Source organism: Homo sapiens, chromosome 9 (genome assembly GCF_000001405.40).
Source record: "Homo sapiens chromosome 9, GRCh38.p14 Primary Assembly".
In the NCBI taxonomy this organism is placed as follows: domain Eukaryota; kingdom Metazoa; phylum Chordata; class Mammalia; order Primates; family Hominidae; genus Homo; species Homo sapiens.
The window spans coordinates 133,507,489-133,535,238 of NC_000009.12; the positions used below are offsets into that span (position 1 = coordinate 133,507,489).

The 27,750-nt window shown below is 58.3% G+C and overlaps 2 protein-coding genes across 7 annotated transcripts in view, besides 8 other annotated features; one reads left to right on the forward strand and one right to left on the reverse strand.

Annotated features, from left to right (window-relative positions):
• Positions 1,494–2,213: an enhancer, noted in NCBI's record as "H3K27ac-H3K4me1 hESC enhancer chr9:136374104-136374823 (GRCh37/hg19 assembly coordinates)". NCBI's record gives its function as "activates a minimal SCP1, AML or CMV promoter by ChIP-STARR-seq in primed H9 embryonic stem cells {active_cell/tissue: H9 hESC(primed)}" and the evidence as "EXISTENCE:reporter gene assay evidence [ECO:0000049][PMID:30033119]".
• Positions 5,150–5,836: an enhancer, noted in NCBI's record as "H3K4me1 hESC enhancer chr9:136377760-136378446 (GRCh37/hg19 assembly coordinates)". NCBI's record gives its function as "activates a minimal SCP1, AML or CMV promoter by ChIP-STARR-seq in naive H9 embryonic stem cells {active_cell/tissue: H9 hESC(naive)}" and the evidence as "EXISTENCE:reporter gene assay evidence [ECO:0000049][PMID:30033119]".
• On the reverse strand, positions 7,098–17,471 carry MYMK (myomaker, myoblast fusion factor). Its single transcript, NM_001080483.3, has 5 exons — positions 17,222–17,471; positions 12,686–12,800; positions 11,386–11,534; positions 8,003–8,119; positions 7,098–7,297 (listed from the first exon to the last, which is right to left on the reverse strand). Exons 1-5 carry the CDS (start codon positions 17,354–17,356, stop codon positions 7,148–7,150), a joined length of 666 nt encoding a protein of 221 aa, NP_001073952.1. The 5' UTR covers positions 17,357–17,471; the 3' UTR covers positions 7,098–7,147.
• Positions 12,424–12,924: an enhancer, noted in NCBI's record as "H3K4me1 hESC enhancer chr9:136385034-136385534 (GRCh37/hg19 assembly coordinates)". NCBI's record gives its function as "activates a minimal SCP1, AML or CMV promoter by ChIP-STARR-seq in naive H9 embryonic stem cells {active_cell/tissue: H9 hESC(naive)}" and the evidence as "EXISTENCE:reporter gene assay evidence [ECO:0000049][PMID:30033119]".
• Positions 22,481–22,986: an enhancer, noted in NCBI's record as "H3K4me1 hESC enhancer chr9:136395091-136395596 (GRCh37/hg19 assembly coordinates)". NCBI's record gives its function as "activates a minimal SCP1, AML or CMV promoter by ChIP-STARR-seq in naive H9 embryonic stem cells {active_cell/tissue: H9 hESC(naive)}" and the evidence as "EXISTENCE:reporter gene assay evidence [ECO:0000049][PMID:30033119]".
• ADAMTSL2 (ADAMTS like 2) overlaps positions 24,676–27,750 on the forward strand; it is a 43,356-nt gene continuing 40,281 nt past the window's right edge. For 5 of the 6 annotated variants that reach the window (NM_014694.4, XM_011519241.3, XM_005272239.3 and 2 more), the window contains exon 1: positions 27,216–27,429. Coding sequence is in view for 3 of the 6 variants with exons in the window: in XM_011519241.3 (XP_011517543.2) it covers positions 27,253–27,429 (177 nt within the window). In the remaining 3 variants the exon portion in view is untranslated. Of the gene's footprint in view, positions 25,083–27,215; positions 27,430–27,750 lie in introns of those variants that run through there. The other variant, NM_001145320.2, reaches the window with a different exon arrangement.
• Positions 25,733–25,822: a silencer, noted in NCBI's record as "silent region_20464". NCBI's record gives its function as "represses an Ori minimal core promoter by ATAC-STARR-seq in GM12878 lymphoblastoid cells {active_cell/tissue: GM12878}" and the evidence as "EXISTENCE:reporter gene assay evidence [ECO:0000049][PMID:35858748]".
• Positions 26,081–26,622: an enhancer, noted in NCBI's record as "H3K4me1 hESC enhancer chr9:136398691-136399232 (GRCh37/hg19 assembly coordinates)". NCBI's record gives its function as "activates a minimal SCP1, AML or CMV promoter by ChIP-STARR-seq in naive H9 embryonic stem cells {active_cell/tissue: H9 hESC(naive)}" and the evidence as "EXISTENCE:reporter gene assay evidence [ECO:0000049][PMID:30033119]".
• Positions 26,623–27,162: an enhancer, noted in NCBI's record as "H3K27ac-H3K4me1 hESC enhancer chr9:136399233-136399772 (GRCh37/hg19 assembly coordinates)". NCBI's record gives its function as "activates a minimal SCP1, AML or CMV promoter by ChIP-STARR-seq in naive H9 embryonic stem cells {active_cell/tissue: H9 hESC(naive)}" and the evidence as "EXISTENCE:reporter gene assay evidence [ECO:0000049][PMID:30033119]".
• Positions 27,163–27,704: an enhancer, noted in NCBI's record as "H3K27ac-H3K4me1 hESC enhancer chr9:136399773-136400314 (GRCh37/hg19 assembly coordinates)". NCBI's record gives its function as "activates a minimal SCP1, AML or CMV promoter by ChIP-STARR-seq in naive H9 embryonic stem cells {active_cell/tissue: H9 hESC(naive)}" and the evidence as "EXISTENCE:reporter gene assay evidence [ECO:0000049][PMID:30033119]".

The window sequence follows — 27,750 nt, forward strand, 5'->3', positions numbered from 1 at the left end:
TAGATCTTTCTCCCTCTCCCTGGGCCACTGGCCCCTTCTCCTTCGGGTCTCCCAGCAGCGCCCGCACTGGGCAGCCTTTCTGACCCAGCGCCTCACTCCCCCAATCCCCCGCGATGGCTCAGTTCTGGGTCTGCCTCCCCCATCAGTCTGTGCACCATCGGAAGGCAGAGCCCAGGTCTGCTGGACTTGTGTGACTCCTTGGGGTTGGGAAAGCTGTGCGGCACATGGAGACACTCAGGAAGGGGCGACGTTTAAACTGGGCCCTGGGACCGAGCCCCCTGTTTCCTGCTGTTTCAGGTCAAGCGTTGGGGCGGCACAGCAAGACCAGGGCAGAGCTGGTGATATGACACAGGGCACGATTCACCCGAGATGGTTGGAGGGGAAGGGTCACCCGTCAGTACTTTCACACGCAAGGCCACGCCACGAGGCCAGCCTGTGTCTGCCTCCCAAGTCCTGCTCATGGGCTCAGTCGGCCACAAATCCTCCCCCTTGAGGGAGGGCAGGAGAAAAGCCCAGCAAAGCCACATTTTTCCTCCACCTTTGGCCACAGGTGACCATGAACACAGGACAGACACACCCCAGACTCAGTCTGTCTCCCTGTCCTGGGACAGAAGCCGGCAATGGACACACAGTCTCCTGCTGGCACCGTTCTCTCCACGTGGGCAGTGGTGGCTTTCTTGCTGCCCCAGTGGGAAGGGTGCAGCAGGTCTGGGGAGGTGCAGGGCACAGGGGCATGGCCAGACTCAGAACCATGGAATGACAAAGCCATCATAGACACGGCCCGAGGGTCGGGCATCTGCAGGCTCGCACGGTTCAGTCCACTTTGCTTTTCTAGCTTCAGTCTCCAACCTGCCTCTTCCAGGCAGCCTTCCTTCCTTACTTTCTTCATCCATAATTCTTGGGCACTTGGTATGAAGCAATTTGTTTCCTTGGCAAATGTGGGTATTTGGTTCCTTAACTGCAGTGAATACTCCCTGATGGTAAGGATAGAGACCCCTCTTAAATTCTAGAGATTTGGTTGGGCACGGTGGCTCACACCTGTAATCCCAGCACTTTGGGAGGCTGAGGCTGGTGGATCATGAGATCAGGAGTTCGAGACCAGCCAACATAGTGAAACCCCGTCTTTACTAAAAATACAAAAATTAGCCGGGCATGGTGGCGCACACCTGTAGTCCCACCTACTTGAGAGGCTGAGGCAGGAGAATCACTTGAACCTGGGAGGCAGAGGTTGTGGTGGAGCCGAGACTGCGCCACTGCACTCCAGCCTGGGCAACAGAGTGAGACTCAGTCTCAAAAAAAAAAAAAAAAAAATTCTAGAGATTCATTGTTTTGCCCTTGACCAATAATAATGAAAATAATAATGATTGCCATTAAAAGAAGTATTTTAAAAAATACTGTGCTGGATGCTTTATAATAAATGTGTCATTTAATCTTAACAACATCCATATGAGGCAGGCACTATTATAAAAGGGGAAACCAAGGCCAAGAGAATGCAGGGAACTTGCCTGAGCTCATAGAGGGAGAGCTGGGGTCCTGACCCCCACCTGCCCCATCTGCTTCCTGCCTCTTCTGCCTTTTAAACTCCCTGACACCTTTCCAGCCAGCCAGCCTCTGACTTAATTTACTCAAAGGGGCCCGCGTGGTCGGCGGGGTGAGGCTGCTGTTCCCATTCACAGGTGGGGAATCTGGATGCAGAGATGGGCAGAAATGGCCCCAAGGTCACCTGGCCATGGAGAGGTGGCCTGGCAGGGGGCCCCAGGGCTGCAAGCACTCTCTGCTGCCTCTAACCACCTTAGGCAGCTTGCTTTGGTAACAAGCTAACCGGCAAAGAGATTTACACCCCGGGGCTTCCTGCCGACTCTGCAGAAACATCCCTTGCCCACCCCTCCTCCACATCCTCCTAGCCAAGCCCCTGCGGCTGAGACCAGGGTGAATTCCTTTCCCGGCGTCCAGCGTGCTTGCCCTAACTACAATCCCAGCCCCGAGAGCGGGACAGTCTATGAAGTAGATGGGGAGCTGTAAAGCCTTTTTAAAAGGGGCAATAAAAGTTTTGGGTTTCAGATCGTCTTACTGGAGAAGAGAATAACAGAGACAGGAAATTTCAGTAGCAGACACGACAAAGGCCACAGCACACAGACTGCCCTTAGACAAAAACGCCTCCGCTTGTGCAAACAGAGGACGGCCTGGCAGGGGGCACTGCCCCGTGCCATGCCAGCCTCACACGAGCTGCCGGGAGCTGGAGGTGGCTGCTACAATAGCCTGTTTTGTTTACATTGCTGTTGAGTGTTTAGAATACGTCTCCGCGTTGGTGCTGCCTGAGGTGTGCAGCACTCTCCCCTGAGCTGGGCTCCTGCTATGTGTGCCAGGAGGGGGTGTGGTGTGTGCCCCAGCACGGGGCACAGGCGTGGGCAGGTCGGGGCCGGAGTGTGGGGCTGGGGCGTGGCTGACCCTGGCACTGGGATGGGTGGGGCCCAGGCTGCTTCTGCTCCCAGGCTCGGGGAGGCTGTTGCTGGGTGTGTGCCCACCCATCCCCCCAGAGTGGGAAATGATCCAGCTGTGGGAGCACATGGTCATTCAGTCACCAAGAGTCCTCAGAGCTGTCCCATCCCTTTTGTTTCCAGCAGATGCACCGTCCTATGCAGTAACCACCAGCCACATGGACAGGGCTGCCTGATCAAACAGAACACTCTGGGATAAACTCGATTTCAGATACACGATGAATCATTTTTTGGTATAGGCGTGTCTCACGCAAGTGTCTCTCCAATAGCTCCCGGGGCACGCTTATGCTGCATGATCGTCTGCTATAGATCTGAAATTGAAACGCAACTGGGCGTCCTGTATTTCATCGGCAACGCCACCCATGTGACTTTTTTTTTGGTATTTTTAGTAGAGACGGGGTTTCACCGTGTTAGCCAGGATGGTCTTGATCTCCTGACCTCGTGATCCGCGCACCTCGGCCTCCCAAAGTGCTTGGATTACAGGCGTGAACCTCCGCACCTGGCCGGACCCATGTGACTATTCGAACTTAAATTATTTAAAATGAGGATAACATTTAAAGATCCAGGTTTGGGGTTGTACCAGCTACGTTGCAGATGCCCAGGCACCAGGCGTGTTGGGCAGCCCAGAGCATCCCCACTGCTAAAGCAAGTCCTCTTGGCCAGTGCTAGCTGGGGACTCCTAGTGACATCTAGAACTACTTTTCCAAGAACTGAACTCACAGTCCCCAGGTCTCCCGATCAGGGCTGGGGAGAGGGAGTTCTGGCTGGGGCGGCCTTGGAGGCCCTTTCTCAGATTCCAGGGACACGACGCCCTCGGGGCTGGCAGACATAGGGATTCAGAGGTGTTTGCATCTGCAGGCCATAATGTTTCTTTCTTGTTAACTTGCAGCGTTGGGGTGACCATTCTGGGTGTCAAGGGAGCAGGGTGGCCCCTCCCGGGTGCTCCCTACCTGGCTCCCTGGTCAGAGCCCCCAAGATGTCAAAGTGGGCCGTGGTGCCTGAGGCCATGGGAGGGAGACACAGCTGGGGGGACTGGCAAGACCCTGGCACCGTCTCCCACCCAGCAGCCACTGTCCCGAGCTGTCTGACGTCCCTGGCCCTCGGAGTCCTTATTGGCAAAGTGGGCTCAGGACTGTGTCCTGGGGCCCCCGAGGGGTCGCCTGTGAAGGGGAGGGGCCTGCCCCTGTCGGGAGGGTCGAGGCTGGGCCTGGAGCCCGGGATCCTGCAGTGGTGGGCAGGGACTGAGGGCTGGAGCGCGCCTCCTAATTGTCCGTGACTTACAGACTTGGCCAGGCTCTGGGCGGCCTTCGTAAATCGCTGCAGTGAGGAGCCTGCCAGTGTGGCCCTTCGCGCTTGGCAGGGCCCTCGTCGCCGCCCTGCTCGGAGTGGCCTGCCGCCTCCAACTTTCCATGTGCTGCTGCTGCGAAGCGGGAAAGGGGGGTGCTGGCTGCTTGCTGTGGTGGGGAGGGAGGTGGGGCGGCCACCGTGCAGGTGCCTGCTTCTGCAGGGATGTCCAGGGCTCTCCAGCTACGGGGTCCCCAGAGCCTGTCCCCTACAAAGCCTGGTGTGAGGCTTATGTGGTCTCCACACGGGGCCAGAGGGGAAGACGCTGATTCAAGGACACCCCGTCTTTTCACAGTGCATGTAGCGTGTGTGGGTGTGTGGTGTATGAAGTGTGTACATGTGTGCACGTGCGTGTGTGTATGTGTGGTGTGTATGTGTAGTTTATGGAGGGTGTATGTGTGTGCACATGCGTGTGTGTATGTGTGGTGTATGGAGTGTGTATATATGTGCACGTGTGTATGTGTGGTGTATGGCATGTGTACATGTGTGCACGTGTATGTGTGGTGTGTGTGTGGTGTATGGAGTGTGCATATGTGTGCACATATGTGTGTGTATGTGTGGTGTATGGAGTGTGTACATTTGTGCACGTGTGTGTGGTGTGTGTGGTGTATGGAGTGTGTATATGTGTGCACATGTGTATGTGTGGTCTATGGAGCGTGTACGTGTGTGCATGTGCATGTGTGTATGTGTGGTGTGTGGTGTATGGAGTGTGTATATATGTGCACGTGTGTGTATGTGATGTATGGAGTGTGTACATGCATGCATGTGCATGTATGTGTGGTGTATGGAGTGTGTATATGTGTGCACGTGCATGTGTGTATGTGTGGTGTATGGAGTGTTTATATGTGTGCACGTGCATGTGTGTATGTGTGGTTTATGGAGTGTGTATGTGTGTGCATGCATGTGTACGTATGTGTGGTGTGTGTGGTGTATGGAATGTATACATGTGTGCACGTGCATGTATGTGTGGTGTGTTTATGGTGTATGGAGTGCATACATGTGTGCACATGTGTGTATGTGTGGTGTGTGGTGTATGCAGTGTGTACATGTGTGCACGTGTGTGTAGGTGTGTGTGGTGTATGGAGTGCGTACATGTGTGCACGTGCATGTGTGGTGTGTGTATGTATGGAGTGCATACATGGGTGCACTTGCGTGTATGTGTAGTGTGTGTGGTGTATGCAGTGTGCACATGTGTGTACGTGTGGTGTGTGGAGTGCGTGCATGTGTGCACATGCGTGTATGTGTGGTGTATGGAGTGCGTACATGTGTGCACATGTGTGTATGTGTGGTGTGTGGTGTATGGAGTGTGTACATGTGTGCACGTGCATGTGTGTATGTGTGGTGTGTGTGCAGGCATGTGTGCACCTCCTCAGGTGGACTGGAAGCGTACAGAGGCAGTGCCATGCCTGTCCCTCAACCCCAGGTCAGGGCTTAGAAGTTGGGTGTCTTCAGCCCTATGATGGGGACACGTAGGACATGTTCCAGTTCCCCTGCTGGGTGGATGGGCTTGGAGCCCTGGATGCTGGAGCCTTGGCTTGCTCATACCCTGAGAGCTGGGGAGAGGGCGCCAGCCTTGGGCTGCTCTGCATTCAAAGACTCCGGGGCCAGGAAAGGGCTGAGCTTGGCTGTCCTCTATGCCTGCCCTTCAAGGCCAGGAGGGACGCCAGGTGAGGAAGGGGCAGGCCAGGGCCCCTGAGACTTGGGGGATGCCAGGCCATCAGGGAGGGCAGCAGATGGGGCCACCAGGCCAGGGTGTCAGAGCGACCGTATGGGGGAGGGGCCTAGAGGGCCACCCTGTCCCCAGCCCAGGAGCGGAGCCAGCTATCTCCCAGCCCTGGAGGCAACAGGGGGTGACTCTAGGACAAATAACCGCCCTCTTTCCATGGGCAGTGGACCTGGGCAACCACTCCCAAGCCGGTGGCACCGTCTGGAAACACAAACAGGCCCCAGACAGGTGTAGGTAACTTCCTGCCTGACAGATGGGCCTGGAATCGCTGGGTGCCGGGGGACGCAGGTTGTGAGGTGATGTCTGGGACCTGCTGCCACCACCCCCGCAGTCCTTCACAGACAGCACCGCCCATCACGCAGCAGGGAGGCCCAGCCGAGGGAGCCCGGCATTTGGGCCCTGCAGCCTCTGCTCACGGGCACTGCACCCAAACCCATCACCTTTCCACGCTGGGGACGGCGTGCAGGGCTAAAAGCCAGCATGCGGGTGCTGAGGGCCAGAAGCGGAGCTCACACCTCCCACACCAACCACTCTAGAGGGGCAGCCCCCGCTCTGGGCCCTGAACAAGCGGCTGGGGTGGGAGGGATGACGCTTGGCTGAGTCTTGTTTTAAGGGTTAGGACGTATATAAAGTGTCTGGGGTGCAGTGAGGTTGATACATTGAGGCACTTCTTATTGGTTATAATGAAAACTGCTTGATTCAGGGACCCAGCGGGAGGGGTGGGGCCAGAGTGGGCTGGGCCAGGGATCCAGCTGGCCCCGCTGGCCCCAGCTTCCTAAATGGGGTCGCTCGGAGCCTGAGGACACAGGACAGAGATGGTGATAGCAGTTTCCAGGAGAAAACTGAAGACATGGAAGCCCCCCCTGTCATGGCTGGCACCCGGCTGGGACTCCTGGGCTCCTGGCCAGCAGTGGGGTGGGCAGACGCCAGACCTAGGGCTCCACCAGACATGCCAGTGGGTTGTGACAAGGCCTGGGAGGAGAACATTCTTATCTTTCCAGCTTGGTCCTGCGCACCCCGTCACAAGGGAATAAGCAGTTTCTTTTTTTTTTTTTTTTTTTTTTTTTTTTTTTTTTTTTTTTTTTTTTTTTTTTGAGACGGAGTCTCGCTCTGTCGCCCAGGCTGGAGTGCAGTGGCGCGATCTCGGCTCACTGCAAGCTCCGCCTCCCGGGTTCACGCCATTCTCCTGCCTCAGCCTCCCGAGTAGCTGGGACTACAGGCGCCCGCTACCACGCCCGGCTAATTTTTTGTATTTTTAGTAGAGACGGGGTTTCACCGTGTTAGCCAGGATGGTCTCGATCTCCTGACCTCGTGATCCGCCCGCCTCGGCCTCCCAAAGTGCTGGGATTACAGGCGTGAGCCACCGCGCCCGGCAAGCAGTTTCTTAAGAAGCATTTAGTGCAGCATGGTGGGCCCTTCACAGACCCCCGGGAACCTCTCAGGGTGTGGAAGAGATGTTTCTCCTGGATGCTCCAGGGCAGGGAAGGACAGCAGGAGCTGCAGGAGGAGAAACTGTCTGGGACTCTGGCCAAGTGTGAGCTGGGGAGGGCAGGGGCTCAGAGCCGGGCTGGGCGCAGCATCAGACACAAGCACAGCACAGGGTGGAGCAGTCCAGCTTGGCCGGGGTCCCCGGGGATCCAGCCTTCTTGTTGACCTTGGGCAGCAGCAGAACAAAGGACATAGCCAGGGCACAGTGGTAGAAGCTGTGGACATAAGTGTAGTCCCAGTCCTGCGGGGGGCAAGCGGTCAGTCTGGGGCCTCAGCCCCCTCCCCGAGGCTCCTCCCTCTCCAAGACCCAGCAGAGCCCCTTCAGGCCCCCGCCTCTGCCAGGGCACTGGGACACCTGCAGGAAGCCTCCCCCACGGTCGCGCTCACAGTGGTTTTTCTCTCCACCTAAACCCAGAGCAGTGAGGGCCTGTGCCATCCTCCAGGCTGCACTCCTTCCTTCTTCCCCATCCCCTCTCTCTGCTGTCCTTCTCTTCCTCCATCCTTCTCTCCCTCCTACCCTCCCTCCCTCCATCTCCCCCTCTTTTCTCTCCTTATCCCTCTTCCCCTGTTCCTCCCTCCCTCCTCCACTTTCTCCCTCCTTCCTTCCCTGTCTCCTCCCCTCCCTCCCTCCCTCCTCCAGGTGTTGGGCACCTGCCCCAGGCGTCTCCCAGGCTGTGCTGCCGTCTGAGATGCCAGCTGTCTGTAGGCAGCCAGCTTTGGTCTCTGTGACCTCCAGGTCCACACAGGCCATGGTGCTGGTGGTGCTGGGGACGGCATTGCCCCCGACATAGCCCTGGGAGGGGCTAGTGAGCAGGGACTAATACCAGACTTTGGCCTGGGGCTGTCAGAGTCCCCCCAGCGTGGGCACAGCCCTGGTATCCCAGCTGAGCAGAGCCATGCCGAGTGGGCTCTGGGGCACAGGACACCTCCCCGCTGGGCTTGGTACCTCAAAGAAGAAGCGTAGCATCAGGGCCAGCGCCCCGAAGCAGAGGCCGGGGCCTATCTGCTGGGTGTAGACGCTCTTGTCTGGGTACAGGCCCTTCTTCTCCTTCATCTTCTGTAGCTGTGAGGACAGGAGGCCACAGCAAAGCTTTTAGGTCACAGCACTGGGGAACGCCCCTCCCCAAACCAGCCCGAGAGCTGGCCCTGCACAGGCTCACCCCAGCCCTCTCCCGGCAGGAGAGGAGGCTCAGGAGCCTCCTGCCGCACCCAGCCTCAGATGGCTTCTGCTGGACAGGGCCCTTCACGGTGCGACCCAGCAGAGACCCCAGCCTGGATGGCTGGGAAGGAAGCCACTGGGCCATGTGCCCCACAAAGACCCCGCTGCCCTCCCGCCTCTTTGAGATGTAACAACGCCACCCTCGCATGTCTCCTCCTCCCTGGAGGGGAGCTCTGGGGGGACTAGACTCCATGATTGCTTACCAAGGAAAGTACTGGAGTACTTGGGACCTGCCAGCCCAGTGTGGCCCATGGGGATGGCACTTGTGGTGATCCCTGAGCCATGGACAAGCATCGTTTGCTTTCCTAGTTAAAGGACCTATCTCACTCTTCATTAGACAAACTTGGCCAGCACTGCTTCTCAGGTCCCAGTGCTTAGGAAGGCTCGCGTGGGCGTTTCCACTTACAGAGGGGTTTGCATTCCGAGGAAGATGCGGGAAGTGTGGGGCCACATCCCTGGAGCCGGCCTTGTGTTTTCTAGGCCACTTCACATGGAGTCTATTTGGGATTTTCAAGGGCAGTTGTTTCCTGGAATGAGGGTGGATTTTTCTCCCTGAGCCTGGTCCCCTCTTGGGAGGGGCTGGGGAACGACAGCCTTGTTGGGGAGGAAGGAGGGAGGGTTGGGTGATGGCGGCCTCGGAGTGGGGCCAGACCCGTGGGGGTACACTCAGGAGGCTATAGATTTCAGTGGAATCAACTGTTAGACACACAGCGTGTGGCACAAGCCCCTGGGGGTGGGGGCAGCACCCCATAACTGCACCCATTGCTGAGTGGCCTATGCAAAGAGCACAAAGAGCCTTATGCTGGGTCAGGTCAGGTTTTGCCACCCAGTGAATTATGAATTGATGCCCGGCTTTCCATTTTCTGGAATTCCATTGCCAACAAGGAATTGAGCACCTGCAGTCCTGCAGTGGCCTGAAGACAGCTGGACCGTGTGACCCTGGGTGCGGTGGTCAAGGCTGCCAGCCCACCTCTGGCCAGCCCTGCAGTAGTAACACCAGGGAGAAGAGAGGTGCCTGCCCCAGGTCACACAGTGGGCCTGGCACTATTGAAAGGGCGCCATCACCCAACCCTCCCTCCTTCTTCCTCCCGGGCTGCCATTGCCCAACCCCTCCCAAGAGGGGACGAGGCTCAGGGAGAAAAATCCACCCTCATTCCAGGAAACAATTGCCCTTGAAAATCCTAAATAAACTCCATACTAAATGGTCTAGAAGACAACAATTTGAGCCCCAGATGCGGGGAGGCGGGCAGCCCATCCTCGGCTCCTGTGGCTGGATCTGCAGCCTGAGGGCCTTGGCAGTCTCGTGGCTCTTGGTGGGAAACACAGCAGTGAATTCTCTTCTGGGCAATTACAGTTCAGCCCAGTTCAGACCTGGCCAAGACCAGCGGGAGGAGCAACCTTCAGGGGCAGAAGGAGGCGAGAGGCGGGTGGCCAGGACCCAGGGCCCCAGCACGCTCCTTCCTGCCACCCACCTTGGTCCAGCCCACTTATGCCCAGCGCTCCCTCTCTCCCCACCAGGTGACTCCCAGGGGCCTCCTGGGTCAGCCCAGGATTAGTGCTGCTTCCTCAGGTTGCAGACAGAAAGCAGGTCCTCTGTCTCCTGCTCAAAAAGTCAAGTCCAGCCAGGCGTGGTGGCTCATGCCTGTAATTCCAGCACTTTGGGAGACTGAGGCAGGCAGATTACCTGAAGTCAGGAGCTCAGGACCAGCCGGGCCAACGTGGTGAAACCCCATCGCTACTAAAAATATAAAAATTACCTGGGCGTGATGGCATGCGCCTATAATCCCAGCTACTCGGGAGGCTGAGACAGGAGAATCGCTTCAACCCGGGAGGCGGAGGTTGCAGTGAGCCAAGATGGCGCCATTGCACTCCAGCCTGGGTGACAAGAGCAAAACTCCGTCTCAAAAAAAAAAAAAAAAAAGTCAGGTTCTGGCCCCGCCACTGCCCTGCCATGACGTCCTGTTAAGTTGCTGAGGCCTCCATGCTTTGGTTCCTTCATAGGCCAAATGGCAAATCAGTCCCATGCTCCTTGGCTGTGGGGAGGATTGGGACGGGCTTTGCAAGCTGCCCACCAGAACTCGAGCGCTCTCCCCACAGCCGTGGGCCCTCCTGCACTGAGAGCTGCCCTCTGTCTTGCTGGGTGTCCTGCGGCTCTGGCCGGGGCTGGCAGTGTGGCTGGGCTGGACCAGGCCAGGTCCTCTCTTGGCACTTGAAACTGACCCTGAGACTTCAGGTCCACTCCAAAGAGGTGAAATGCAGCACAGGGATGTTCAGGCGGTGCCTGGGCTGCTGCAGGCCTGGAGAGCAGGCTCAGGCTGAAGCCTGCTGGCTCCCCAGGTCTGGGAGACCCTTGCAAGGGTGAGCTCCCTCCTGCTCTGGGGTCCCAGGAGATGCCCCGGGTCTATTTTTCCCTAAGATCCCTCTTTAGCTTGGGCGAGTTTGAGTGGGGTTTGGTCCCTGAGCCAGGAGGGTCTTGGTAGGACGGAGAGAGCAGGGAGCACTGAAGACCACGTGAGGGCCTTGCTGCTCTGCAAGGGGCTGTCTGTGCTAGAAGGTCTGGCCCAGGCTGCCTCACTGTCATACCACACTCTCCCTCCTGGCTAGAACCAAGCTCGAGGCTCACTCCCTCCAGGAAGTCTTCCCAGATTACCCCAGGCCATTTTCCAAGTTGATGTTGCATCTCTAAAGCAGCTGGTAGTAAGAGCGGTGATGAGAGTGATAACAAATAGCTCTTATGTGCGGAGCACATTGGAAGCCAGGCTCCATGCCAGGACTTCAGGTGCCTGATCTCAGTGAGTCTTTGAACCACCCCATGAGACAGGCAGGGGGCTGTAATGACAACACCTGCTTTACAGGTACGGGCGTGGAGGTGAGACATTGGGTAACTTGGGCTCAGTCTGGAGCTGGTGAGTACAGACAAGCGTCACACACAGTCTACACAGCCGGAGCACCTCATGGCTATTTTCTACGTGGTTTTGCTGAATTCCTGCATCCACCCATTTGCCTATGAGGGCAGGAGGTAAATGAAGATCCGAGGCAGGAGGAGTCAGACAGGGGAGAGGTGACGGGCCTCCTGGGTCCCCGTTCATCGAGGCTCGCGCAGTACGCACCCACTTTGCCGCGATGATGAGGATGGCTGTGCCGATGGGGCCCGAGTACACCCCGTAGCCCCATCGGTCATGGTAGATCCGCACAGCAATGGTCAGGACGCCGAACATCACAAATGTTGACCTCTTGGGTTCGTCGAAGTCGGCCAGTGCTGGAGGGGCCAGGGAGACACAGGGGGAGGTGAGTGGTCTCTCTTGCTCCTCCTGGCTACCCCCCCACCCCCCAGCCCCCAGGAGGCATCCTGTAGATGCCCTCTCTCGGTGTCCCCTCAGCCAGCGAGACCCTGAGGCCCAGCCTGGTCATGGAGGGGTCTGAATTCCAGCCAGTTTGAGAGGACAGGCAGCCTGCTGCTTCCCCATGGACACAGCAGCTTGGATTGTGCTCCCAGCACCTCATTTTAATAAACAGACCACAGCTGGTTGTGGTGGCTCAGGTCTGCAATCCCAGTGCTTTGGGAGGCAGAGGCAGGAGGATCGTCTGAGACCAGGAGTTCAAGACTAGCCTGGGCAACATAGCGGGACCCCCATCTCCACAAAAAATTCGGTGGGTGTCGTGGTGCATGCCTGTCATCCCAGCTACTTGGGAGGCTGAGGTGGGAGGATGGCTTGAGGCTGTGAGTTCGAGGCTGCAGTGAGCCGTGTTTGTGCCACTGTACTCTGGCCTGAGTGACAGAGTGAGACCCTGTGGCTAAAAATCAATAATCACTATGCAAAGTGAATAGGATCGAATCTATCCCATAGGATCACAGGACAAAGACACTAAGATTCAAGAGAAGAAATGAAGCCCCTCACAGGCCCGGTTAGATGGCAAGGAGCCTCAGGTCATGGGGACCTTGCCACAGACAACAGTTACGTGGAAAAAAACATGGTGGGAAAGGGGGCTTATGAACAGTCCCGTCTTCCAGGCTGGATATCACCCGTGTGTGTGGATGTTTGTATGACAGTCTGGGAAGCCAACCCCCCTGAGCAGTGAACAGCGGTCCTCCCAGGGAAGGAGTGACGGGAGGGAGCCCTTTCACTTTTTCCTTTGTATGCCTCTGCTGTTGAAATGTGTCACAACAAGCTTTTACTAAATGAGTCATTTTAAAAGGATATAAAAAATCGGCATCAGGGCATTTAAGAGGTGCATATTCTTTTTCATAGATTAAGCACAACCCTGAAACCCAGACAAGGGAAGACATTCCTGGGGCTGGGAGTGAGTGGGGATAGAGGGCTGCAGCGGGACTGGTTTGAGGCTGGGTGTGCGGACACTGGGGAGCCGGTCCTTGTCCGCAAGGCTTGTCTGCAGGGGTTGACCACTCACCCATCAGCGAGACCCACATGCTCAGGGCTGTCCCGTAGACACTGAAATACTCCAGGATGTCGTGACGCATGAAGCACAGCACAGACAAGCCGGGTCCATTGCAGGCATGGTGGAGCTGCCAGAAAACCCACAGGTGGTCACAGCACAAAGAGGCCAGAGCTGGTCCCCGAGCCACGGCCCCCAGAGTGCCAGGTCACTTGCTGGCTGTGAGAAGTCACTTTGGCGAGTCACTTAATGACTGTGTGCCTCAGTCTCCCCGTCTGAAAAATGGGGGTACTGCCGAGCACTCCCGCAGAGGGTCCTGTGGGGATTAAGTGGCACATGCCAGCGAGGTGTTTAGGGGCTGGGGTGTGCCAAGGGTTCACTCAATGTCACCTCAGCAGAATTCGCTCATCTGCACTGGCAGGACTGGGCGGAGACTGAGTGGTCACTCAGGTGAAGCCCGCTTAGGTGGGGCGGTCTCCGGGAGGGACCCTACACGGCTCTCCCCGGACCTTCAGCATCTGTGCTTCCTTGAAGCACACAGCTGCGTGTTCACTCGCCAATCTTTGGATGTGAGGTCAGAGCCTCTCTGGGGGCTCCTTTGCTCTTTGGGGGCTCCTGGGGCCTTCTCTTGCACAAATTACCCCTCTGATGACTGGTCTACACTGCAGCAGCGTTCTCAGGCTTGAGTGGGCATCAGAACGCCTGGGGCCTTGTTTAGACACAGGTTACTGAGCCCTGCCTAGGGTTGCTGATTAGGGAGGGCTGGGTTGGGTAGAAAATGTGCATTTTGAACACATTCCCTGTGGCACTGCTGAGGCTGGCAGGGCCCACACTGAGAGCCGGGCTGTAGCTCCTGGTTTCTGTTGCCTTAACGTGGACGAAGATCTCTGAGACCCCCTTGCAGAAGCTGAACACAGCCCCCTAGGCTCATCCATCTCTGCCCTATACTCTCGTCGTCGCCTCCCCAACACCCACTTTCATGGCAATTTTTAAGGCAAAAGGCTTATAGGGAGTGTTTTCAAAGCAGTCAACTACTTTTCTACGGAAAACAACTCTCTCTCCTTTTGCATTCGCATTTCATCATTTTAGGTAATATTTAATTACATGACATAATTATTTTGACAGGTTCAACTGGCACAAACAAGCTTGGGAAACAGCACGGTGGACTCTTGGTCAGCCCAGCTCAGCGGGAGGAGCAGGCGTGCTGGAAAGCAGCCCGTGTCTGGAGGCGACAGGGACAGCACAGAGGGAGCGGGGGCCCTGGGTGATCTGGGGGGCAGGCAATTCGGGGTCAAAGTGGAGTGCTTCTACTGATGGCAATTGTACACGGCCTAAAGTGACGGTGCACCTAGGAGGCATTAATAGGGATCCAGCATCTAAAATGAGGGAGGCGGCGGTCCTGCTTCTCTCTGTTCTTGTCAGGCTCATCCAGAAGACTATGCCGAGCTCTGTGTGGTGCACCTTTCTTGAAGTGAGACTGGGAAAGACGCGGCTAGAGGAGGGTGACCAGCGGTGGACATGACTGTTTACCTTGGGGACAGGGAAGCTTCAGGAGGGGCCTGATCAAGGTGCTTACACCTCTGTGGGAAAGAGGAGCGAGGAAGACTCCGGCCCTAGGCTGTTCTCCTGTTCTCCTGGCTTCTTCCCATCCCCCACCCCAGCCCCATCACCTGCTGTCTGTGTGCCTCAATGTAGCACAGATGGTCATGTGTGATTAAGGCATTCACTGTGAGATTGTGATAAGGCCTGTGCCCTTGCCCTGCCAGGAGCAGGAATGGCTCTGTCTGGTCCCAGTTGCATGGACGGCTCCCAGCATAGAGTGCTTGCTGCATGTGTTCAGGGAGGGGGACGCCAGGCTCTGAGAATTCTAAAGGACAGCCAGCTCACCCTGGGGACCCAGAGCCTCTGCCACTAGGCCCTTGGCTCCTCCCAATGGTGGGAACTTAGCTCCATTCGACAGATGGGGAAAGTGAACTTCAGAGCAGCACTGCCTGCCCAAAGAGGTGAAACAGAGCAGTGCTTGGCACCTGGCCACTTCCTCCCATCCTGCAGTGCAGGGGGCAGACCTGGCCCAGCCGGGGCACTGGTGGGGTGGGTGCGGCTGAGGGCCTGGGGGGTCAGAGCTCAGGCTCGGGGAGTCTGACTTTGCAGATGTTCCCAGTGGGGGCTCAGGTGAGTGGCTGTCGGGGGGGGGCCTCCTCTGTTGTGTGGGGACAAGCACACTGTCTCCGTGGGGTTTGCACCCATAGCAAGGTGTCCGGCACAGAGATGGAGATTGTCACGGGAGGGGCCTGATTGGAAGGGAAGGGACGCCATGCGGGTGGCAGAACTTTGGGAGGGACTGAGTGTGGCTTTGAGTTCAGAAGACGTTTGTCACAAGAGGCAGCTGCCCCTGCCACTCTGGGTGGGGCAGGGTGGGGCCTCTGAGACCAGTGCAGAGGCAGCTGCGGGGCCAGCCTAGGCCCAGGCAGGGAGGTGTGGCCTGGTGGGTGCTTGTGGTTTGCTGGGCTAGGTCTAACAGGAGCCTTGAGAACAAGACCTCAGCTTTTCTCCCTGCGCTAAGGCCATGGGACCTGCAGAGAAATCCTGGCTCTGCTCTGGGCTTCAGTCTCTCATCTGCCCAAGAGGCTTCCTAGCCCTAGCCCAGGCTGGAGTCCCAGAGGAGCGAATGCAGTGGCATTTGGGTGAGTCAGGAGCTCTGGAGAGCTTGATGGTCACAGTGACACAAGTGACTCTGTCTCTCTGGGATTTGGTTTCTTCATCTGCCAAATGGGAATCAAGATCCTAGGCTTGTGGGGAAGGTGAAAAGGCTGAATCAGACACTGTGCACAGAGCGCCTAGCCGAGTCCTCTGCCCTGGGTACTGGCGCTCGAGGTGGACTCAGAAGCTCCAGGGCATCTGGTTCCACAAAGGACCCAGCCTGTCCCAGGCCACTGTCACCCCTGGGAGTGGCACACACTGGAGGGAATGCCTCGCTCCCAGCCCACACGTGCACACTCAGCTTCTGCCATTGCGGGCAAAATTGGACTTGACCAATTCAGGATACAAGCATAACATGTGAATATATGCTTGCAAACACACGTGTGAGCTCACGGGCCTCACCCGCTCAGGACTCCCTCTGTGCACTCACATGCACTTGGCATTCTTGCCCATAGAGGCCCTGCTGCTGGAGAAGGAGGCTGTCTGGGGAGAGGAGGTGGAGTTTTCACAGGTTGGGCCCAGCACTGCCCCAAGAAGGAGGCTAGTGGGACGCTTGCCTCCCCAGAGCAGGTGTCATGCTGGGGATTGGGCTGTCAGTGAAGGAGGGGTGTGATGGAAGGTGAGCAAGGAAGGCTTCGGGAGAGCAAGAGGTGGGGCACCACTTGTGGGAGTCCAGGAGTGAGGGCATGTTAGTGGAGAAAGTCGGAAAGACCCAGAGGCAAGAAGGCAGGGGGTACCGAGACATATAAATGATGGCTGAATGGCGAGATGGTAATAGACGAATAGATCACAGGTAGATGGATGCGTAGATAGAGAGATAGATGGAGAGAGAGAGAGAGAGAGAGAGAGAGAGAGAGAGAGACAAGCTGGAGAAGGTGGATAGCTAAAGCCAGAGAGACACATGGAGAGTCAGGGGACTAAAACCAGGGAGGGTGGGACCAAGAGCTTTAGAGAGAGTGAATTCCATGGGGATCGAGTTCCAGAAATCAAAAGAGAACCAGACAGAGAGAGAAAGGAAAAAAAGAGAAACAGAGAAAACTAGACACAGAAAACCAATACGAGAAACACAGAGTGAAAGAGACCCAGAAAGAGAGAGAGAGAAGACAGGGGAGACAGGGGTCCCAGAAACAGCGACCTCAGAAACAAGGACAGATGGGGTTCTGGGCGCTCCACTGAAAGCCGGATAAGATCACCCAATGACAGGTACCAGGAAACAGAGAGCAGGAGAGAGCCAGAGAGAGAGCAAGCGGAGACAGTCAGCCAGCCAGACACATAAATAGAAAGAGAAAGACGGACCCACAGAGAGAGAAGTAGGCCCCAGAAGAGGGAGAGACCAGCAGGCCCTCCTGAACCAGAGCAGCTCCAGGATTCTGGAATCAGACTCACTCACCCAGGCCTTCACACTCCCTGAACCCTGCAGACCCCTTCCCAGGCCTGGCTTGCCCCACTCATCTCTGCTCCATCGTGGCCTATGGGTAGAGCTCGAAGAGAGGTGGGGAGGGGAGGTGGCCCCATGGGCAGCCGTGGGGGCTTTGATTAGCAGCTGAGAAAAGGGGCACGCTGGAAGGGTTTATCCTCAACTCAATGGCCCTGCTTCACCCCAGGCTTGGTCTCACACAGGCAGTGATCCCAGAGCAACTTCCTGGCACAGATGGGAAAACTGAGGTCCAGATAGGGGAAGGGACTCCCCTAGTCCTCTCTCTTCAGTCTCCAGACCCCACCTGGGCCTGCTGTTTCATTTTCAAATCACTTCTGCTCATCACCCAATACAAGAACGCTGTGGACAGAGAGCCTCTCCTCTACCTCCAGGATGGGGCCTGTGTGGGACTTCCTCCCAGCCCCCAGACTCACCGCCACGAAGAACAGGGTGAAGAGGTAGACCATGGCCTCCATGTGGAACCGCCTCTTGGCCGCGATGCTGACAGTGGGGAGGAAGGCCAGGCTGCTGAGGGTGGGCAGGAGCAGCTTGGCCACCAGCGTCCCCATGGGCCAGGAGGAAAGCACTGGCTGGGGTGGGGAGGGTGCTGGTGTCCCAGGTCCCCAGCACAGGAGCACGAAGTGGGAAGGCCAGCTCCCTTTGGGCAGGGCTCTGATGGCAGCTGCGGGGAGCACCCACAAGAGGGTTTAAATGCCCTTGACGGAGGCGGGGATGTGCGTGCACGTGTCGAGTAACACACGGAGAGGGCCAACAGCTGACATGCCACGTGACCAGCATTTGTCTCTGATTTTTCTTTTCTTTTTCTGAGACAGAGTCTCGCCCTGTCACCCAGGCTGGAGTGCAGTGGTGTGATCTCGGCTCACTGCAACCTCCACCTTCCAGGTTCAAGAGATTCTCCTGCCTTAGCCTCTGGAATAGGTGGGATGACAGGTGCCTGCCACCACACCCAGCTAATTTTTGTATTTTTAGTAGAGACAGGGTTTCACCATGTTGGCCAGGCTGGTCTCAAACTCCTGACCTCAGGTGATCCGCCCACCTTGGCCTCCCAAAGTGTTGGGATTGCAGGCATGAGCCACAGCGCCCGGCCTTCTCTCTTTTTTTTTTTTTTTTGAGGCCAGAGGAGTTAATTCAAGGATTCAGGGAGACCATATTTCTTTTCTCTGAGGCAACAACCTTGGGGAAAAGTCCCCAACAGGACAATCCCTGCCTTCTAGACATTTTCCATCCTGATCCTCCCCCCAGAATGGGAAGCCTGGTGGATGCTGCTGCTTCAGTCACGTGTCCATGGGTGGCCTGAGGTGAGAGAACCCAAGATTTCACCAATTCTAATCCTTAAAAGGACCTTGTAGATAAATCTCCCACCTTACCAGCCCACATATACTTCTCACTCGCCAGCTCTTGCCCCACACAGGTTTCCTTGGTGGCCAGACTAATGAAACTAACGTTCTTTTCTACTTGGTTACACTGTTTCACATTGTAAGTAAACAACCTGGGGCCATCTCTTTTAGTGTTCCAAGCACCAGGCCGGTGCTTGCCCTCTCGGTGTTTCTTCCCTCGTCTATTGACAACAGTTCTTTGGCTGGCCTTCCGGAAATTACCTTCCCTCGTTGTAAGAGGTCTTGCGGGAGCTGTCTGGCAGGGTGCCCCCTATCCCCTGGCCAAGGAATGATGGGTGTGTGTGGTCTGAGCTACCCAGGCAGACTCTCTTTCCCTGGATTGATTGATTGATTTGTTGTTAGCAAAATAACAGCTTTTACTTCCATGCTCTTTTTTCATTGTGATGTAATTCACATAGGACAAAACGCACAGATTTCACCTGTATAGTCTGCTGAAAACGCACCTTTGTAACCAGCACAGTGTCCATCCTCACCACCCAGGATATTCTCTTGAGCCCTTTCCAGTGAGCCCCCTGCAGAGGCAGCCACTGGTATGATTTCTGCCCCCGTACCTGACTGCCTGTCCTAGAACTCCTACAAATGGACCGTGGACTTTTTTGGATCTGGCTTCTTTTGCTCACAATGTCATGTCTGTGCGATTTGTCCCTGTCCTACTCATGGACAGTCCCTTCGGTTGCTGCTGGGTGGTGTCCAGTGTAGTATTCCTGCACCTTTGTTCTCCTGGAAATTAGAATCTGGGGACAGCAAGACCAAGGACCGTCTCAACACTGGCCCCTCCAAGAGAGGCTGCTGGGCCAGTCCTGCTTTGTGAGGCCCGGCTGTTCCACCTTTCCCTCCATGTGGGAGCTCCCACAGACCTTTCCAGAAATCTCTCTTAAGTTGGCTGGAGCCCATTTCTGCTGTTTGCAATGAAACGTCTGACTTGATATGTCTCATTCTGCTGCTTAAGACTCTTCTGAGGCGTCCACAGCCCAAAGGGTGAAGTCCAAGTGCTCACAGAGACCACCAGGCCATCTATGGCCCAGACCCGTTCCCCCAGCCCCCATGCACACTCTCAGACGCTGCCTCCTCTCCTCCCAGCCTCCCACCTCCCCTGCAGGGAGGCACTTCCTGCCCCGCCTGTTCTGGTGAATGCCTCGCTCCCTCTGCCTGCAGCCTAGACAGCCTGTCTGTGGGGAAAGCTTCTGTGATGAACAGCACCCGCCCCCCGCCGGCCCCCAAGGAAAGCTGAGGGGCTCCGCGCAGTGCCCTCCACGCCACGTCGTTCCTGACCCGCCACCTTGGCTGAGATGTTGATGTTGGGTTGTCTGGGCTGTGGCCCCCTTGGACTGCAGGATCCAGGGCCCAGGGCTCTGGCCGGCTGGCTCCCTGCCCCACCCCCGATGCCCAAGCCTGGCACATGGTGGTGTTCAGCACACACTGGCTGAATGAATGACTTTGTTAAAAGAATGAATGAAAGTCCAAGGAGGCGGGGCTGCCGCACACTTCAGTCTGGCCTCTGAGGAGCCCAGTTCCCTCTCCAAATGGGAAAACCAGGCCTGCTGTGTGTGCGGCTCTGGTGGGAGGCGCACGATCCCCTGTGAGCCTGTCACGGCAGGGGCCCTGATCCTCCTTGATCCTCACCTCTCGGCCCCTCGGCTCCCGCTCAGACTGGGCCCCTGTCCCCAGCCCCTAGCCCAGCTTTCAGTAAGAGCGAAAAAGAGTGGTGAGGAAATACAATTCAATGTCAGGTGCTATGAGAGGCAGTGGAGGAGAGAGCTCTCTGGAGCCATAAACCCCGCTCGAAAGCAGGAAAACATTCCACAGTTGGTTTTGTGCATGAGTGTGTGTGTGTGTTTTTTTGCAGCTGTAAACTCCAGGGCCAGGGCTGTAAGCTTGGGGAAGGGAAAAAGCGAAGGGGGAGGAGGTGGAGAAGGGAGCGGAGCTGCACATGTGTTGCAGCGATTAAGGAGAATGGGGGCCGGGAGGGACGTCCCAAAGGGGGGAGACAGGTGGCTGGGCCTGGGGCAGCCTGAGGAGCCCCTGCAGAAGGGCTGGAATGTGAGCTGCCCTCTGAGGGAGGCAGTGGAGTGCAGAACGGAGGTGGGCCGGCGGGGAGCGGGATGTGTGTGGCTCCCGTCCGAGCCCTGGCCGCCTGGACGCAGACCAGCTGGCTTTGGGGAAGGCGTCCAGCTCTGAACAGGACTGAAATGACCCTCGGTTCTCCCTGGAGCAGGGGAAGCGATTGGCCTGGGGAGCTGGGAGAGGGGGAGGCAGAGTGGAAAAGCCAGACCGGCTGCTCTTGGGGGTGTCGCTGCCCCAGGAGACACAGGGTGGGGGGCACAGGATTGGGCCAGGCCGGGAGCCGCTCAACCTGGGCAGGCTCTGAGCCAGCACAGACGTGAGCTGGCACCCCTGTTCCTTCTCACCCCGAAGCCTCCCATGGCCCCTGCCTGCCAGCCCACCATTCAGGAGTCCCCGGCATCCACCCTACTCTCCACCTGCTCTGGGCTTTAGCCAAACCAGATCCCCACAGCCATATGCCCTCCAGACTCTGGGCCTCTGCATGACCTTCTGCCAGGAGACCCTCCCCTGGTTCCCTGTGTAGCCTCAGCTTCTCCTGACCCCCCAGAGGGGTGTGGGCTCTCCCTGCTCAGAATCCCCATGGCACTGAGTGTGTCTTGAAAACCAATCATGTCCACGGATGGACGGTTGGTCAGCGCTGGCCATGTACCAAGGACTCTTCATACCTGTCTCGTTGGGCCCTTCCAGCAGCCGGGAGGTGGGGTGGAGGCCTCTGTTCTCCCCATTTTACAGAAGAGGAGACTGAGGCCCAGGGAGCGGCAGCAGCCCTCCTCTGCCCAGCAGATGGCAGGCCCCAGTGGGCTCCAGCGGGCTGGTCCTGGGCCACGCTGGGGAGCAGGGCCGCCCTGCACTCCCCTTCCCTCACCCCCACAGCCGCAGGAGCGCCCCTGCTTTATAGAGGCGCTGAAATGCCTGGAATGCCAGGCAGCTCCCGCCTCCCAACAGCTGTCTGTCTGCCCGGCCCAGGAGGGCTGGCCGGCTGCTGCGTTTGCGTCCTCTACATTTTGAACACCTGACCTACAGCACTGGGTCACCCCAGAGCACAGCAGTCCTTGTGCCTGGGCTCTCCATGGGGCCCATGGAGGCTCCCCCACAACTGTTGGGAAGGGCAGGGCTTTGCTGCTTTCTGCCTGCTCCTCGGGGTCCCCATGCCTGTCTGGACTGCCACCCAGGGTCCTCCCCTGCGCAGCGTGACATGGCTCCGCGTGTGCCTCTGCGGCCAGGGCTGCAATGAGCAATCCGATATTATCCTCAGCTGCAGGCTGAAGATGAGCAGCTCACCACCCCCAGCTTCTGAACACCTGCCAAGTGAGCCAGGTGGAGGGCTTGGCCCATCCTAGCTCTGGGACCTCTGCATGCCCTTGGCCCTGGGAGCCTCAGTGTCCTCGTCTGCAGAATGGAGCTTGGGGCGGGGCTACCTCCCAGGGTTGCTGCAGGGGCTGAAGAGTGCACAGACGTGAATAGCTCAGCTGCCAGCCCGGCCTCTGGCAAGGGCTCTCTAATGTCTGTTCTGTGAACCAGGGACTCCTCACCCTCCGAAGTGGGGAGACCCATCTTCCATTTACAGAGACCCAGGAGCTGGGAGAGGGGTTGGGGCTCGAACCTGGGCTTGCCTGAGCTACACGTCTGTTACCTGCTCCCCTTTGCAGGGCTGTGGGATGGTGCCTGGCAAGTGCCACTCACTGAGTGTGACTGAGAGGGGACAGCCACACCTGGGTCAGCAGCAGCCCCAGCCCACAGTTTCTTCTGGGGACCTGAGAATTCAGCTCCCGGGACCCAGCCTGCCCTTGGGGACGAGACTTGTGGCAGGGTTGCAGCTGGCGGGGATACTGTCGGGGAGCTCTTGCGGGCAGGAGACTCTTTTGCAGGCTTGCTGGGAAGCCTTTCATCTTGGCTGTGGTTCCTCCCAGAGCTGTCTCCCAGACAGCAGGGCTCTGCCTGACCTCAGGCCACAGCCACACCAGGGCTGCTCAGGTCCCTATCCCTGCTCCAGATCTGGAGACAGAGGAGCCTCTTTCTCCTAGAGTCTCAGACCAGGAGTGGCCTAAGCAGTCTCTGTTAGCCATAGACATGAGCTCCCCCAGCTCGAGCTTTCAGCGTTGGCCTAACAGAAAACGCCAGTGCTCCTGGCTGAGAAAGAAGGAGGAAGAGGAGGAGGAGAAACCAAGTTCTGTGGTCCGGCACCAGCTGGTCACCCCTGGGGGCTGCAGTCCCCTCCTCAGGGCAGGCTCTGATCGGGGGCATAGGTGTACCACCCAGGGATGTCCATTCTCCACCCGTGGGCTGAGCCACAGCAGGGTTGATGTTGGCAGGGAGCACTCCCAGAGGGGAATCGGAGTCCTGTGTGTGTGCTGGGAGGACGGAGAGCAGGCCAGCCCAGACCCACACCTCTCAGTGAACCAAAGGCTGCTCCTGACCCCTTTGCAGGCCCTGCGTCCCTGTTGGTCCCAGCCTCTTGTCTGCCCCAGCTTGCCTCTCTACGTGGAAACTTGCCCCTCTTGGGCACCACATCCCTGGGCTTGCAGGGAAAGGAGAAGCTGAGTCAGGGCTCGCAAGGCCCTGGGCTCCAGGAACAGCAGTGGAGGCCATCGGGGAGGGTCCCGCTGCTGGTCCTGGTGGGGAGGCTGAGCACGTCCTGCTGCTCTGGGCTCTCCTGGGACCCAGGTGCACCCCATCCTGGACCAATGACAGGCACCCCATCCTAGCCCCAGACATCTCACAGGCACACTCGAGAGACAATGTGAGAAAGTTGGCCAGGCTGAGAAAGTCCACTTGGACTCAGGCGGGGTCCAAGCCTTGGCCTCAGCTTCCTTCTCTGTCTGGGCGTGGCAGTGTTACCTGATGTGGCATTGTCAGGATGGAGGATGACAGCAGAGTAGACACTGGCCCCGGGCTACCCTTTGGGCTCAGAGCAAAGCACGTGCAGCCCTTCCTTTCTCCACCACCATCCCAGGCCCTTCTCCCATATGGACTCATTTCAGCCTCACAAGAGTCCAGCATGGGGAGTGCCTTATCACCGCCACTTTACAGGTGAGGAAGCTGAGGCACAGAGAAGCTTCTGCCCTCGCCCAAAGTCACCCAGCTGGAGAGAGACGGAGTCAGGATTTGAACCCAAAGAGTCCGGTTCCAGGCACTCACGCGTGAGGCTGCTGTTGCTGTGCTATTGGAAGAGCTGCTGCTTCCTATGCTGAGCCTCCACGCTAAGCCTCTGAGACGGGGCCCTTCTGAGTGTCGGGATCCAAGGTCCTGGGTTTCCTGCTTCACCTGGCTGTGACACCAGTGGCTGCCCGCCCCTGGTCACTGTGGGTGGCATGGAAGAAAGAGCTCACTGGCTTGGTGATGTCCTCCTGCCCCCAGCAGATATCCCTGACACGGGGCATCTCTGGAGGTCATGGCCGTGTGCGAGCAGAGCCCGAGGGGCTGCTGGGGGCTGGGGTTCTTCCGGTCCGCCAGCTTTCAGATGATGCTTCCAGGAGTCCTGGTGCCCAGAAGGGGCCTCAGGGCTGCTGGGGAGAAGAGGGGAAGCAGGAGCCCCCACCTCTGCTTTTGTCTCAGTTGTCTCTTGAGTGTGCCTGTGAGATGTCTGGGGCTAAAAAAGGACCTTGACCTTGTGCAACAGACCAGGAAACTCGGCCTGTCAGGGACAAGTGGCCTGAAGTGACCTGGCCAGCCAGTGGTCGTGCATGGACCTGGGACCAGCCAGGGAAGGCGGGGGAGGCTCTTCCCGTATATCCAGCCCCAGGGGGGTCTCAGGGACAGCTGGCTTCTATCCTGGGCCAGGAAGGAAGCTCGGGGACAGGGACGGCTCTTGGGGTTGCTGAGGCCCCCTCGCTCTTTCCCTGGGGCTGCCTTCTGAGTCCTGGTCCTCTTCCGGGGCTGCCAGCCACCTCCCAGCTGGCCACATGGTCCCTTGGTGGCCCCGTCCCAGTCAGGTGTGAGAACTCTGGCTGGGTCTGCCCAGGAGGCTCCTAGGATGTTCTGGGTCCTGGGCTGGCAACAGAGAAGAACCGCAGGATGCCAGGGAAGGTGGTATTGGTGGGCCACTCTTGAGGCTGTGGCCGGCCAGCCCTATCGGCTAGGTGAACCACACTACACACATACATTTGCCAGGCCTGCTAGGCCTCTGGGTGACAGAGAGGGGACCCACCTCGACAGCTCGGGCCACGTCCTTAAACTCCCGAGCCTGCTGTGGCCACTTTGCTGTGAGGACAGGCCCTGCTCCCACTGCGGCAGCCTAACATCCTCCCCAGGGAACCTCCAAAGTGGTCAGCCACGGCCCACCAGCCCCTCTGCCTCAAGCCTGCTTCTCTATCCCCGCCGTGTTTTCCCTGGAACCCCACCCTCCCGGGCATCCCCCACACATATTCCTGCTGTCCTATTTCTAAGCTCCTCAGATATCTGGAAAACACTGGCGGAGAAAATCCCCTTCTTTTTTTTCTCTCTCTTTTTTTCTTTTTGAGACGGAATCTCACTCTTTCACCCAGACTGGAGGGCAGCGGCGAGATCTCGGCTCACTGCAACCTCCACCTCCCAGGTTCAAGCAATTCTCCTGCCTCAGCCTTCCGAGTAGCTGGGATTACAGGTGCCCGCCACCACGCCCAGCTAATTTTTGTATTTTTAGTAGAGACAGGATTTTACCATGTTGGCCATGCTGGTCTCAAACTCCTGACCTCGTGTGATCCCCCTGCTTCAGCCTCTCAAACTGCTGGGATTATAGGCATGAGCCACTGCGCCTGGCCAACAATCCCCTTCTAAAGGCAGGTGGTGTCTCCAGCACCAGGGCCATACGGCTGCAACACCCCTACAAGTGCCGGTAGGTGTGGGCTGAGACCATCCTACATGGGGAAGGCCCTGAGAGGCCGGGAATTTGCAGGCCGAAGAGGGATCCTGGAGAGTGGGGGACTCACCTCAACAGCACTCTCTAAGGGGTAAGGAGCCCCTGGCATCAGGAGCTACCAGAGCACCTGCTACGTGCCAGTCATGGCTCCCTGTGGGCCTCAAGTCTGCAGGCTCTGGGGTAAGGGGTGGGGGTGGTGTGGAAGTGTGGCTGGCCAGGGGAGCTGGGGCCTGGAGGGTCACACACCTGCAGGAGGTCACAGAGCCAGGGGATGGCTGGCCCCACAGACCCGTCTCCCAGGTGGCCAGCCTGCAGCCTGTGCCGTCCTGCTGAGCCAAGAGAAGACACTGGGGGTGTTTGTGTTGGTCGGCTGTGGGGTCCCTCCCAAGGGAAACCGTTAGTCACCCTGGCGCTGGCTGGATGTGAGGCCACAAACGCCAGGAGAGCTCGGGGACTGTGCCAAGGGGTGCGAGGCCTGGCGGTCACCAGAAGAGAGAGGAAGGGGATGGCAGAGGCACCCAGAGCGAGTGTAATCCGGTCATGTGAGAGGGACTGGGTGTGTGTGTGCCTGTGTGTGTGTGTGTGTGTGTGTGTGTGTGTGTGCTGGGTGACAGGTGCCACCATGTCTGTGATTCAGCACAGCGACCCCAGGGGGCAGTGTGGGCCTGGGTTAGGGTTAGGGTTAGTCCTGGTTCCACACCGCAGGTGGCCCTGTGACTAGGAGCAGCCACCTTGCATCCCAGTTGCCCCAGCAGGAGAATGAGATGAATAAGACTTGCCTGCCCGAGGGTCCCGGGGAGAGAAACTTAAACAACCCGGCAGAGGAGAGAACCCGACACTCAGGAGCGCTGGCATCCCAGCCTTGCCTACTGGAGAGGTGACTTGGTCCCCGAACCTCAGTTCTTCCACCTGTGAAATGCAGATCATAAAGGTGGATCTGGCCTCACAGCTCTGGGCCCGTAGGACAAGCTGGACAGAGGGCAGACGGTATTATCGCTTTCACTACTATTACTGGTGGCTTTCCTTCCCAGCCTTTCTGGTGGGTGGTCAGACACAGGGCAGAACTTTCTCATGAAGGCAGCTGAAGGAACTCACAAGTTTCTTCCAGCAGGGAGGACAGAGGGAAGGAGAAGTGTCTTCCCGGCACTGCTGTGGGCCCAGGACATCTGCTGCATGGAGGCAGGGGCATGGATGAAAAGACACAGATGACCTGATGGAATGGTGCCCCAGCTTCCTCCTCCTCCCCTTTTTGGAGGTGCCTCTGTTTGCCGAGGATGGGCTCTGGGGAAGCTGGTGTGCAGAGGCTAGGTGCCCAGCCTTGCTTTAGGAAAGCCTCACAAAGTCTGGGGCCCGCCGGGAGTTTCCCAGGGGGGCTCTGCTGCTCCACCCACTCTCGCTCCCCTCTGTGCCCTGACTCAGCAGGAACAGAGGCTTGAGCTCCAGGCCTGGCCTGCCAGGGGCTGCCAAGTTGGTGCTGGACATCTGCAGAATCCCTGAGCCTCTCTGCCCTGGCCCTGGCTGCTCTAGCCATCTGGTCAGCAGGCCACGGGCACATCTGTCTCCTCCCTGGAGCCCTTGGTTCATTCTCGCTGGGTCTCCCTGCGTCCCTCCACCTGCTTAGGCCCCTGCATCTCGGGAGCTTTCTGAGGCTCGTGACCTGGGGCACGGTCGTCCCGGAAGTTCAGCCTTTCCCTCCGTACAACGGAGCCATCAGACGGGACACCTCATACATCCCAGACCCCATTCTCAGGAGCCCCAGGGACAGGGCCCGCTCTGGAGGCAGAAGCCGGACAGGCGGGGCTGGGGCTTTGCCACCGCCAGCCTCCCCGGTAACCTCAGGCCAGCGGCTGCTCCGTCTGGACACCCGACATGTGGCCCCCAGTTCTGGACCCGGGAAGAAGGCCTCCCTGCTCGCCGCTCCTGGGCCGCCGCCGCCGGCAGCAGCCAACAGGCAGCTGGGCCGGCCTGGCCGGGCTCCAGAGGCGCAGAGCGGGTTAAAGTGTGCGCCAGGCCGGCCGGCGCGGGCGGGGGAGCGGCCTGGTGGGAAGTGTGAGTGTTCCTCCCCGTCTGCCTGACAGCTATAAAGGCGGCCGCCGGCGCAGAGCCGCCACTGGGCTGCGCCCCTCCCGGGAACCCCCTCTCTTGGATGCTCTTTGAAGTGGGAGAGGGAGGCGGCGCGGGGGAGGAGGGGAAGGGGAGAGGGAGGCCGGGCCGCAGCCTCTGCACTCACGCCGCCCCCGCACGCACAGCGCACCTGGCGCCGTCTGCCCTCCGCAGCGCTCGCCCCTTTCTCTGGGAGGACAACCTGCTGACCCGAAGCCAGGTAGGCCACCTCGTCCCCGTCCCCCTCACGTTGCAGCGTCCACCAGGCCAGCCCACTGCTCAGAGTGGGGCTGGGGGTAGGAGCACCCCGCGCCCTCTGGAGCCGTTACATAACGTGGGGAGGCTTGTGGGGAGGGGTCGGGCCGCAGAGCACGGGGCAGGGTGGCCTCCCAGCACCTAGCCTTGTGCGCCCGGAGCTCTGTGTGCACGGCAGACCTCTCTGCTGCCGCCAGCCGCTGCTTTTGGACCCCAGGGAGGGATGGATCCCCGTGAGCGAGGCCTGGCCAGAAGCCAGTGGTGTCTGGAAGCCTTAATGAAAAAA